This window comes from Homo sapiens, chromosome 7 (genome assembly GCF_000001405.40).
Source record: "Homo sapiens chromosome 7, GRCh38.p14 Primary Assembly".
Taxonomy (NCBI): Eukaryota; Metazoa; Chordata; class Mammalia; order Primates; family Hominidae; genus Homo; species Homo sapiens.
This window is the reverse complement of record NC_000007.14, coordinates 108,195,561-108,208,786: the sequence shown is the minus strand read 5'-3', so window position 1 is coordinate 108,208,786 and position 13,226 is coordinate 108,195,561. Positions and strand designations below refer to the sequence as shown.

General features: G+C 40.2%; 1 protein-coding gene across 107 annotated transcripts in view; it reads left to right on the top strand.

Annotated features, from left to right (window-relative positions):
- Nucleotides 1-13,226, top strand: part of NRCAM (neuronal cell adhesion molecule) — a 309,072-nt gene that overhangs the window by 247,934 nt on the left and 47,912 nt on the right. For all 107 annotated transcript variants that reach the window (NR_163870.1, NR_163867.1, NR_163869.1 and 104 more), the window contains 3 exons: nucleotides 1,128-1,259; nucleotides 10,688-10,831; nucleotides 12,915-13,026. Coding sequence is in view for 102 of the 107 variants with exons in the window: in NM_001371122.1 (NP_001358051.1) it covers nucleotides 1,128-1,259; nucleotides 10,688-10,831; nucleotides 12,915-13,026 (388 nt within the window). In the remaining 5 variants the exon portion in view is untranslated. The remainder of the gene's footprint in view (nucleotides 1-1,127; nucleotides 1,260-10,687; nucleotides 10,832-12,914; nucleotides 13,027-13,226) is intronic.

Genomic DNA, 13,226 nt, shown 5'->3' with positions numbered 1-13,226 from the left:
CCTTTGGGATATTCTCAAAAGCCCAAAACCTCAGGGTAATCATGAGAAAACATCAGACAAACCTAAGCCGTAAGACAGTCTACGAAATAACTGACCAGTACTCTTCAAAAGTGTCAAGGTCACAAAAGACAAGGAAAGACCAAGAAATTGTCAGATTGGAGATGATGACAAGTAAATGCAAAAGACGTTACAAGTAAATACGGTGTCTAGGACAGGATCCTGGGACAGAAACAAGACATTAATGCAAAAACGGAAATCCTAACAGAATGTGTAGTTTAGTTAAGTACCATTGTTAACTTTTCGTTAGGTAACTAGACCATGGTCACATAAGATGTTAACATTAGAGGAAGCTGAGGGAAGGAGGTATGGAAATGCTCTATAATACCTTTGCAACTTTTCAAAAATGATGTTTTTAAGTTGCTTCCTAATTATATATATTCTACAGGGCTCAGAATTTATTTTATTTATTTATTTATTATTTTGAGTTGGAGTCTCGCTCTGTTGCCCAGGCTGGAGTGTAATGGGCTATCTTGGCTCACTGCAACCTCCACCTCCCGGGTTCAAGCAATTCTCCTGCCTCAGCCTCCCAAGTAGGTGGGATTACAGGTGCCCACCACCACACCTGGCTAATTTTTTTTTTTTTTTTTGTATTTTTAATAGCAACAGGGTTTTACCATGTCGGCCAGGCTGGTTTCGAACTCCTGACCTCAAGTGATCCAGCCACTTTGGCTTCCCAAAGTGTTGGGATTACAGGCATGAGCCACCATGCCTGGTCCAGAATTTAAATTTGTGTTTCTTAGCCCTACCTGTACATGTAATTTTCTCTGTATGCTTAGATAAATCTGTCACCTCTTTGATGTCTGATTAATTTTAATATAAAATGAGAAAATGAAATTTGTATCAAACAGGTCTAGAAATAATACATATACGTCAGTGAGTCTCTTTAAACATTCTTTGAAAATCTTAAGTGTTCTTTGAAGCATTGTTTATAAATCTATTCGCTCAAAAAAAATGAGACTAATTTAGTGTGAAGTACTTGCTTGTATTATTAAAATAGTTCAATATGTTCTTTTGCTAAAATGCTTATTTGATTCAGATTTTTGGTCTTTTTTCTTCCTCCTATAAAGCGGCTCCATACTGGATCACAGCCCCTCAAAATCTTGTGCTGTCCCCAGGAGAGGATGGGACCTTGATCTGCAGAGCTAATGGCAACCCCAAACCCAGAATTAGCTGGTTAACAAATGGAGTCCCAATAGAAAGTAAGTTGCCTTGAGTGGTTCTAATTGCAGTATATTTTCAGAGCATATATACATCCCGACAGTGAATAAATGGTGATAAAAAAATAACTCAGGTTAAGGAAGGAAGCCACATGTATGTTAAACACAGGCACCAAATTACCTTTGCATTTTATTACCATTAGATATTTATTATGAATGTGAATAGTTTATGCTGTTAACATAATGGCATGTGATGACTGGTACTTGGCAATATTTCGTCTGCTTTTTACATGGATAATGGGAAGAATGACAGGGTCAGAAATAAATATCACTTCAAAGTTTAGATGATCTTCTTTGTGCAAAACATCAAGTGATTTGTAGAAATGTCACAGGCACTAGAGGAGATAGGTGGGGAGACTCGGCATAGAGCCAATGGATATGACAAGCATAAGAAACCCAGCTGTCTTAATATAAAGAGTTTTCAGTCATAAGTATAGCAAGTATAGCCCAGGTGTTCTCACTGTCTTCCAAGGTCACCGTCCCATTTGATACCCAAAGAAGAACACATCCTCTGACCCTGATCGTATGCAGGATGCTTTACCTTTGACTAGTGCTCCCTCCCTGAGAGCTGCTGCTATCATCCTTGAGCAGCACCTGGGCATCCTGGCTATACTTGTTGCCCCGTTCAGCAGCCTCCCTGCTCCGATGCTCCACTCCTTCCACTTCATTAGCCAATATCTCCAAGCTACCACTATGCTTCCCAGCGTGTGGCTTCAGGCCCTCCCATTAATCTGCTAAATCATAGCAAAGGCCAGCTTTACAAAACTTGGCTAAAGGCTTGGGGAGAGTCAAGGGAATTATAGCAAAGAAAAAATCTTTAAATGGATGTTGCACCTCACTGCTCCTTAATTCCTAAGCCATGGCCATGAACAGAGAACCCACTAGACTCTCCTCTTCCTCTACCCCACCCACCACCAGCTACTGCCGAGAGGAGCATCTTTCAACATTTTCCCCTTCTTGGAGTTCAGACCTCCTCTTAGACACCAAGACAGAGAAAGTCAGTTTCAGCATCAAACCCAGCCTTAGGTTCACTCTCCCAGTCAATAACATGATTACCTGCAAAGGTATTCTTTACTCACAATAAAGATAGCCCTCAGGCTTATGATACAGGACAGATTGGCTTTGACTGCCTCCAAGTCAGAATCCAATATTGGTTCTACATTTACATAACCAAAAGGTCTGCCGAATTGACTTTCCCAAAGTAACACACACACTTCCCCTAAGATGGTTCCAAAAACCTGCTGGCAGATTTAAAGTGGCACAAGTCTCTGTTTCTTACCATCAAGGTCTGACAACTGCAGGGTGACTGAGTCGTTGTAGCCTGCCCCATGAATATTTATTGGAAGTTCACTTGTGTCTCGTAGTACAGTAGCTGTCAGATACTTTGAAACAGGCAGACTGTCTTCACTGTAGAAGGAAGTGTATTCCTGGGAGAAAACAGATGCTAGAGGCCAGCAAATAGGGTTTGGGTATTTCCATTCCCAATTTTAACCAGGATCAGGATCCAGAGAAATGGCAGAGAGTACTTTGTGGTTGTGTTTCAGGAAGCTCTTGCTACTCTCAGGGGAATATGAGTGAAAACTGAGAGGAAAAAGTAGAAGAAAGCCTAGAACTAAAAAAGTTTTATGGTGGCTCATGTGAGCCTGTAATCCCAGCACTTTCAGAGGCTATGGCGGGCGGATTTCTTGAGTACAGGAGTTAGAGACCAGCCTGGGCAACAGGGCAAAATCCTGCTTCTACAAAAAAATCAACAAAAAATTAGCTGGTACAATGTATGATTTTCTCAGGAATGCATACAAAATGGCAATAAATGATGATACATGCTTGATACTTTTGCACCATGTTTTGCAGCTCAGAGTTTTTGTGTCCATTTATGGAAGTTTAAAAGTGTCCCTGAGATCTAGACTCAGTGAAACTGACAAGTGGAAGGAACCATCCATCTAGCCCTTCAGCAGGGAAAATGGGGAAGCTAGGGGATAAACCCTCAAGCTTGGCAGCCAGAGTGCAATACTATGCAAGGAAAATTGAGATGTGGGTGGATGACATAAGCAGGGGAGGATTAAATAATGAAGCTGATTTTTCTTCTTGATTTGCTCAGCTTGTTGTCCTTCCAAACCAGCCATCTTAGTCCATTCCTGCTGCTATAACAAAATGCCTTAGACTGGGTAATTTATAAACAACAGAAATATATTGCTCACAGTTCTGGAGGCTGGAAAGTCCAAGATCAAAGAACCAGCAGATTTCATGTCTGGTGATGGCCTGTTCCTCACAGATGCTGCTATGTGTCCTCACATGGTAGAAGGAGCATACGGGCTCCCTCAAGACCTTTAGAACAGCACCAATCTCATTCATGAGGGGGAAACCCTCATTTCCTGATCACCTCCCAGAGACCCCACCTCTTAACCTTGGAGTTAGGTTTCAACATGAATTTTGGAGGGACACAAATATTCAGACCATAGTACCAGAGTATGCAGTGCCTCTGAGGGAACCTTGTAAATCCAGTCATCTTAACAGCTTTGAAAATACACTCATAACATAATAACACTCCCCTTTTAAATTACATTTTTGTGGGGAGAATCAACCATAAAAGGCCTGCTTTGGGGGTACAGAGTAGTAATAGCAGAAAGAGTAGTTCCTCTTGTAACCCTAAATTGTCTGAGTAGGTAGAGAAGAAAGAGTTAGGACTAAATGTCTCAAATCAGATCAGCTCATCTCTTCCATCCCAAAAGTCTTCTTTAAGGCCCCCTGAGACAGAAAAAAGGAGACTGAGAAGACAAGGCTGGAATTCCATAGCTCCTATAGATCCAGGGTCGCTCACCCTCTGGTGTGCCTCAGAGCAGTCACTCTAGTGGACGTGCAGGGAGAGGAATACCACATGGTGTGGCAGCAAAGCAAGGAGCCCGGCACCACCAGGCCGCTCCGTGGTGCTGGTAGCAGGTGCTGCATGTTTATACCAAGGTACTGTGAAGCTTCCCTGGAAGGGGTCTTTCTCGACATCTGGTGGCCAAGCTGAAAGTGGATTACCATTTGGACATCTCATAACTAAAAGATGATGAGCCAGCGGGGCCTCTGCACAGCTTTCTGCACGATGACCCTGCAAAGGTACAGCTGTGCCCTGCCCCTGGCCTTCTGCAGCTGGCCCATCTGCAGCTTCTGCTGAGTGGCCACATGGGTGGATGCTAAGTCTTCAACAGCTAAGTTCAAAGTGAACCCTGCATGCCCCCACTGTGTGTTGATCTCCCCTGATCCAAAATAATGAGAGAATGAGGGGGGTGCAGAAACTATCCAAAACATTAATAGACATTTAAGGAGCCCTGTGCCGCTCTCTTTTTCATCCCCTTCTTGGTAATTGTCCCATGAATTTAGAGGCCCCTGAAGGGAATTGCCTTTGAGGGTTAGGGACCATCCTGGAAACGGAGCACCAGTGCTTGCTTCCCATCTGGAGTTTGCTGACTTGTGCACCCCACATCTAGCACGGCTGGGAGACGGGGGAAGGATGACAGGGAGATGCAGAGAGGTGAAGGTAGGAACTGAGGGCACAGTCTGCCACCATGTGTGACAGGGCTGAATTAGCACAATGAAGACTCCTTGCCTTCATCATGGGGTCCTAGCATAGGCGCCAGAAGTGAGCTGGGAGCACAAGCTGGCTTGCTGACAGCACTTTCTATCCAAGAGACTGCAGAAATTGCAGGTGGACCAGCTGCTGCGGGTGAGGCACAGGAAACAGCTGTGCTTCTGAACTACTGTTGTCAGGGGCTGTGCAGTGTCCCCTCCAGGTGCCTGAAGTTTGTCTCCTGTGCCACACAACAGAGATACAGTCAGGGGACCATACTGCCAGGTACACAGCCTCCCCACTCCTGACTTGCAGGCGAGCACCTAAGGACACTGACTGTCTCCTTTCGCCTCTGCAGGCTCTGGCTGCCGAGTGCACATAAATACTGTAAAAGGAGAAGCTGGTTCAGGGAGGGGAATGGTAAGAAGGGTTCTTTTAGCAAAATGCAATGTTATTGATCTGTGACTGCATTTAAGACCTGAAAGCTGTTGTTTTAAAAAAAAAAAACTGGAAAAATTAACTCCAAAAGTGTCTGGGCTTTTATTTCATTGTCTCCTAAAGCTTTACCCTTCCCCCATCCCCAGGACTGGCCAGATTACTTAAAGCTTTCCTTGAAGCAAAAATTACAGGCTGTATTAAATAAATGTGGAAATTTCCCAAAACCACCTAAAATAGTTTTAAAACAATCTACAGAAGTCAGATAAAAGAACACAGCTGCAGAGAACTAGTGCTGAAAGAGAGCTTTAATTTTATTGTGTAATGGGAGGGTGTGAAAATAGAACCCAGGACCAGAAAGAAAATGAACTTGCTATTGGCAGGATGGGGCAAAGCATTTCCCTGCTCTACCCTAGGAGGTTGCTTTTCAGGACTTCAAAGCCACACTGAGGGGGGTGTTTTTGAGTTCCTTTTTCTTCCTCTTGGTCTTCCCCACTGGAGAGCCTGTGCCATTCTGGTGGTGGTGCCCAAGGCTGTGGCCACTGTGATTCCTATCTCTGCAGGAGAGTCTAACACTTGCAGATCCTTGATAGTTTCCAGCGTGCGTTGTATTAGGTCTGTCAGACTCTTCTGCATGAAACGTGGATAAGATCACACCGTTATTGTGTTAAAAGGCCCCTGTCCTCTCAGGGATGAGGAGGGAAAAGAACTAAGAGAATGAGAATGGGCAGAAGACCTCTTCCTGGCACTGTGACATATTTTTCTCACAATGAAAGATGTTGAAAGCCAGGAATGTAAGATAAGCACCAGGAGAATGGAGGACTGGTCCAGGATATTCCTGGGATTTCATCAAGGCATCCTCCCTTCTTCCTTTTCACAAAACTAAGGGGCTCAGTGGCATCCTCTTGTAGGGATGGAATAAGTAAATGAAGAGGGAAATTTAACTCTTCTCCCAGAAATGTGTTCTACATTATGCCCAAATGTTCACGTTCCAGGAAATGTTTACAAAGTTGACTAACTGAGAAAACCTGAGCAGTAACCTCATTTGAACAAACCAGTACATGCTGCCATTTGTAGTCTCTCATCTCCAAAATGCATAAAATACTATATGATTAGCCTGTTTCACAAAGTTCTTTTTAAAATGAAATTATGCAGTAAATGTAAAAGCATTTTAAAGATTGATCGTACTCTGTTCATGTAAGATGGCATGATTATTATTATTATTCTCATTATCTATATGTTGAAAGTGTTTATATTTTTACCTACCAACATCAGGAGAGTTGGGTTATAAGTATTTTCTGAAGGCCATCACCCCAGTTCTGGACCTTATCTTTGTGGCTTTAAGTTATTTGTAGGGATTCTGTGCTTTTAAATTTCTTTCTCCAGTGTTTATTGACAGCAGATGAAGTTGGTTATTCCTAGAATTAATGATTATTCCTCTGGATAATTTGGATTTGCATGCTAGAGAGTTACTCTACCCACTAGCCAGCCCATCCAAAGGCTCCAAATGTCTCTACATTAGTGATTTTACTCTGTGTCCAGCTACCAACCGAGCCTCCATATGTCACCGTGACAGTTCCTGGGTTTGTTTGCATTTTTTAAACAAGTACTTAAGGAAAACTCCCATGGAGAGAGGTCTGCTTACTCATTGTTATTACCTAAAGGGTTTATTTTGTTCCTAAATACCTTGCCAAAAATAAATATTTGAAGACTGCTCTATTTAGCATATATAAGGCAGATACAGTCAGATGCCTTTCAGGTAAAAAAATACCTTCCCAAAGAGTTGATAGCAAAGAAAAGTGCAACTGAGAGCAACAGAAAAGCTTTCTGACATGGTTTGTTTGTGACTGATGAGTCTCCACTTGGGGAAAATTGTCCTACTGACATTGTTGAGCTTTGCCCTCCAAGTTCATGGTCGTGTAACATTATTATTATTATTGTGGTAAAAACACATAACAAAATTTACCATCTTAACCATTTTAAGTGTACAGTTCAGTAGTGTTAAGCATTTTCACATTGTGCAACAGATCTTCAGAACTAGAGCCCTTTAGCCATTAAATATCGCGTGGTGGTGTAACTTTTAAAAACTCAATACATTTAAGGAATTTGAGGAACTCTTATGTAGTCTGCCACCCATCCAGAGAGATTCGGCCCAGAGCTCTGCCTGGGATTCATCACAGTCTAAAATACACAGCCACTCTATTCCACTGCCTGGAACATCCACAGAGATGCGGTCAGGGTGGGCACATGGTGGGCACCGAGAGTGCCCTGAAGAGTCCCAGCACTGAGAGCCCAAGTGCTGGGTCCAGAAGTGCTAAGAATCTTTTTCTTTTTTTTTTTTTTTTACCGACCTTAAAAATTTAGTTTGTTTCTCTACTTTATTCTTGTATTATTTTTTATTTCCATAGATTTTTGGGCAACAGGTGGCATTTGGTTACATGAATAAGTTCTGAGATTTTGGTGCACCGGCCACCCGAGCAGTGTACACACTGTACCCAATATATAGTCTTTTATGCCTCGCTGCCCCCCACACTTTCCTTTGAGACCCCAAAGTTCAATATATCATTCTTATGCCTTTGTGTCCTCATAGCTTAGCTCCCACTTATGAGTGAGAACATATAATGTTTGGTTTTCCATTCCTGAGTTACTTCACTTAGAATAATGATCTCCAATTCCATCTAGGTTGCTGTGAATGCCATTATTTCATTTCTTTGTATGGCTGAGTAGTATTTCATAGTGTGTGTGTGTGTGTGTGTGTGTGTGTGTGTGTGTGTGTGTGTGTGTATTTCTTTATCCACTCATTGATTGATGGCATTTGGGCTGGTTCCATATTTTTGCAATTGCGAATTGTGCTGCTATCAACATGTGTGTGCAAGTATCTTTTTTATATAATGACCAGAAGTGCTAAGAATCACTGACAGAGAACAAGTCTCCAGAAATGCTGCTTTGTGTTCCAGCACCCCTTGATGAGGCAGTAGGTGAGCATCACTGAGACTGTGTGAGTCAGGCCCCAGTCATACAAGACTTGGGATCTGGGACACATGGGCTGCCCTAAGTTACACTGCATTTTCAGGGTCCATGGCTGCCCTAAGGTACACTGTGTTTTCAGGGTCCATGGCTGCCCTAAGGTACACTGTGTTTTCAGGATCCATGGCTGCCTGCCACAGCTACAGTTCCCTTTCTAGGCCAGTGTGTCATATCCATCCTCTGCTGTCTTTTATCAACGAATCTATATACCCTGTTGAAGGAATTATGACTTGTATTTGTCTTTGATTTGGAAGAACATGTTCCTTAAGGCAATTTTGAAATTATTAGAGTCATAAATAGGAGATGTAAGCTAAGAAGTCAATTCAAAGTATCTCGACACCCCCACATAACTAGTTGAACAACCTGGAGTATCTAAGATGATTTCATAAATGAGTTACTGATGGTAATCAGAGTGTTGAACAACTGCTTTTTTGTTACATTTTTCCTTGGGAATGAAGACGTTAATCAGTCCATGAGGAGTAACTTGTAAGTTAGAGTTTTAATAATCCTTGGATGCTAAAAACTTATTCTGAACTTAAATGTATGGCGAATTTTTAAAATATTCTAGTCTAAAACATCTAAAAGACTTTTAGGCTATAAATGTGATACAGTATGTGGTAGACAGAATAATCCCTCCTTCTACCCCACCCCGCCATGATGTCTACATCCCAATCCCTAGAAACTATGAATATGTCACCTTACATGGCAAAAGGGAATTTGCACATGTGATTAAGGTTAAGGGCCTTGAGATGGGGAGGTTATCCTGGACTATCTAATTTGGGCCCAATTTAATTACATGAGCCCCCAAAAGCAGAGTGCCTTTTCCGGCTTTGGTTGGAAAGAAAGGTGACTATGGAAGAATGATCAGAGAGATGCAACATCGACAGCTTTGAAAATGGAGGAAGAGGACCATGGGCCAAGGAATGTGGGCAGCCTCCAGAGGCTGGAAAAGGCAAGGACATGGATTCTCCCCTAGAACCTTCAGAAAGCGACGCAGCTCTGCTCACGCATTGGTTTTAGAGCAGTGTGACCCATGTCAGACTTCTAACCTACAGAACTGTATGACAGTAAATTTGTGTTGTTCTAAGCCACTACATTTGTGGTAAGTTGTTACAGCAACCGTGGAAAACTATTACAGAATGAGGGAGCCAAATACTTCGAGTTTGGGTCATAAAACAAGGATGTACTATGGTTTGGTTGATTTTTATTACAGTGGGTTAATAAACCACAGATGAAACAAATTTTTTTTTATTTTAAAAGTGATAAAAGAGTCTAAATACAGTGATGAGTGTGTCTTAGATGCACATCCTTTTCCTTTCACCAAGGAAAAAGAAATGGTGCTTAGAAAGAACATAAAGTCTTCTTAAATGCTTCAAGTTGCAGGAGCAGTTTAAGAGAAAAGGTGCTGTTATTTAGTTTTGATTTTGATCATCGTGCTGAGACAGAGACCTAAATCCCTCTTAGTGTACTTCTAAAGCAATATAAGCTCAAAGCCTAAAGTGTATCGTTCACAGAAAGGAATTCATCTCCAATCTCACAGAAGTTCCAAATTGCTGGGCATGCCCGGGACTAAATCCTCACATACTGTGTTACCCAGCCAGTTCTATTCCACTTCAGTAAGGATCAAGCCTGTTCCTAACGTTTTAATACTTGAGAGATTTAGCTGAAAACATTGTCTTCAAGAGGAATTTACACAATTTATTTATACTTCAGCTTCAAGAATATCCACAGCAGAAAATTAAATATTTTCACATTTGGTTATTAGCCCCGTAGTGTTTATGTATTTGTTGATTTATTTATGTCAAGAAGAGGCTCCTAAAAGGAACAGGTTTGAACAAGCTGGAGTGTTTCTATATTTTTTACTAGCTTTTGCTATTTCCTCTTGATCGTTAACTTTTTTTCTCCTAAATAACCACAATCTCTTGAACACGGCAATGTTTTCCTGAATTTGTAATGCAATTTTCACCTAAACTTGTAAGAGTTTTTTTTCTGCATCTCTCAAAATAATACTTGGTGTTCAACATGGCACATGTATACATATGTAACAAACCTGCACATTGTGCACATGTACCCTAAAACTTAAAGTATAATTAAAAAAAAGATACAAGGGGCAAGTGAATGGAAAGGTCTTTAAAAAAATAAAAATAAAAATAAATAATACTTAGTGTTACAGAATCAATCGACTTAAGACTAAATGAATATTGAGCACATACCCTTGCTAATATATAACTCAATTCTGAGAAGGAAAATGTTCTGGTTTCTGCCTAAATTCTAGTCTTATTCTTACTGCATGTACTTAGAGCAGTCTTTATTTATGTCCTACTGACTTTACAAGCTTAATATACATCTTTTAAGCAAATAGGAATAAATACTTTCTATTTTTACATCCAAACAGTTGCCCCTGATGACCCCAGCAGAAAAATAGATGGCGATACCATTATTTTTTCAAATGTTCAAGAAAGATCAAGTGCAGTCTATCAGTGCAATGCCTCTAATGAATATGGATATTTACTGGCAAACGCATTTGTAAATGTGCTGGGTAAGCTCTCATTTTATTAAAGACATGGCAAATTAAATTAATGACTGCTGTTATTTTCTGTTCAATCAGCAAAAATATATTGAGCATCTACTATGTGCAATGCACAGTACTTGGAGCTATAAGGGATGGATAAGATATAAACCTTGCCCCAAAGAATATGGCAGTCTTAATGTTCTTCCATAACACAGTTTTTACAATGGCAAATTCTTCATTGTAGAACTAGTCAAATAAGCTGTTCTACTTACAGATGGTTAGACTAAGTGTCAAACCCTCAAAAGGAAAATAGCATTTGTCTGCTATTAGCAACTGAATATTATTGCTCTTCGTTGTAAGACACTGACAAGTTGAATAACAATGATTCTGATTTTTAAAAACTAATGCATGAATCATAATGCTTGGCCTTTATCCATGTCACAGATGTACATTTATTTTATTTGTAAAAACATATTTTAAAAAGTGTGATATACTGAAACATATTCTCAAATAATTGGCTTATGTGAACATTGTATTTCTTATATTGGACAAAACTACCAAAATACCACATTTGTTAAAATTTTTGTGAGAATTGTTTTCATGGTGCCTGGGAATTATACTTCAGCCCTTTAAAATTAGTATGCTTCCTTTTCAAACAAAATTACCATCAGTAAGCCAACCAATACTTGGTATTTTCCTTTCATGCTTGAAATGAAGGTCACTAATCCTATGAAGAGCTAAGCAGTTAAGATATTGGTGGATGTTGAGAAAGCACTTTTGGCTGCTGATTCCTTTTTCATCTCTACTTTTATGAGTTCAGCATTTTTAGATTTTACATTTAAGGGAGATCATGCCAAGTTTGTCTTTCTGTATCTGGCCTGTTGCACTTAACACAACATCCTCCAGGTTCATCCATGTGGTCATGACATGAACGACATGAAGGAAATGATAGAATTTCCTTCTTTTTTAAGGCTGGATAGTATTCCATTGTGTGTATATGCCACAGTTTCTTTATTCCATTCATTCATTGGTGGGCACTTAGGTTGATTCCATATCTTGGCTATTGTGAATAATACTGCAATGAACAAGGGAGTTCAAATATCTCGACATACTGATTTCATTTCCTTTGGATATATACCCATTAATGGCATTGTTGGATCATATGGTAGTTGTATTTTTAATGTTTTGAGTATAAACAGTATAAATAATCTTTATAGTATTTTCCATAATGGCTGTACTAACTTATATTCCCTCCCACAATGTTTAAGTGTCCCCTTTTCTCTACATTCTTGCCAACACTTAGATCTCCTCTTTTTGATAATAGCCATTCTAATAAGTGTGATATAATATCTCATTGTGGTTTTAATTTACATTTATCTGGCGATTGGTGATAATTGGGCATTTTCCCATATACCTGTTGGCTGTTTGTATATCTTCTTTTGAGAACTGTCTAGTCCAATGCCTTGCCCATTTTTAACCAGGTTATTCATTTTCTTACTATTGAATTATTTGAGTTCTTTATATATTTTGGTATTAACCCCTTACCAGATACATGGTTTGCAAATGTTTTCTCCCCTTCCATAGGTTGTTTCTTCACTTTGTTGACTATCTCTTTGGCTGTGCAAGCTTTTTAGTCTGGTGTAATCCCATTTGTCTATTTTTGTTTTTGTTGCTGTGGTTCCATTTATTCAGCCATCACACTCATCACTCTGCTTTTTTCTGCCAGCTTATGTGTTCCCCACCGTTCCTACCCACTAGGGTTATGATGAGTGAGTCATTCAACAAAAATATACTTGGCTGTTATTTTTGTGCCAGACACTGTGCTGGGGATAAGACAAAAGTCTCATTCCCTGACTGCAGTGGACTCACAGTAAATCAACAACCAAAATGATGTCTGAGCAAGTAGTAGGGCAGGAGGTAGAGGGAGGAAAAATGTATTTTTCTGCCTTGAGTGACTGGCAGCATTATGCCTGATAGAGAACATAAGGAGAGAGATAGATTGCTTGTGCTTTACCATAAACTTTAATGACCTTAAAACAAAATACAATAAATAAACGATAGTCCTAAAATGTATTCTAATATTTACTTTACCTTTTAAAAATATTTGTAGCTGAGCCACCACGAATCCTCACACCTGCAAACACACTCTACCAGGTCATTGCAAACAGGCCTGCTTTACTAGACTGTGCCTTCTTTGGGTCTCCTCTCCCAACCATCGAGTGGTAAGTAGCAGCTCTGTGTGTTTTTCAATACTTAAAATGTTTGCTAAAGGCTTCATATTCTAAATATGTTGGGTTTTATTCAAAAAACAAACAGGGAAAGGCACCACACAATCCATTACACTGTTAATATATTTTTTTTTCTTGTGAGACAGAGTCTCACTTCATTACCCAGGCTGGAGTGCAGTGGCACAATCACAGCT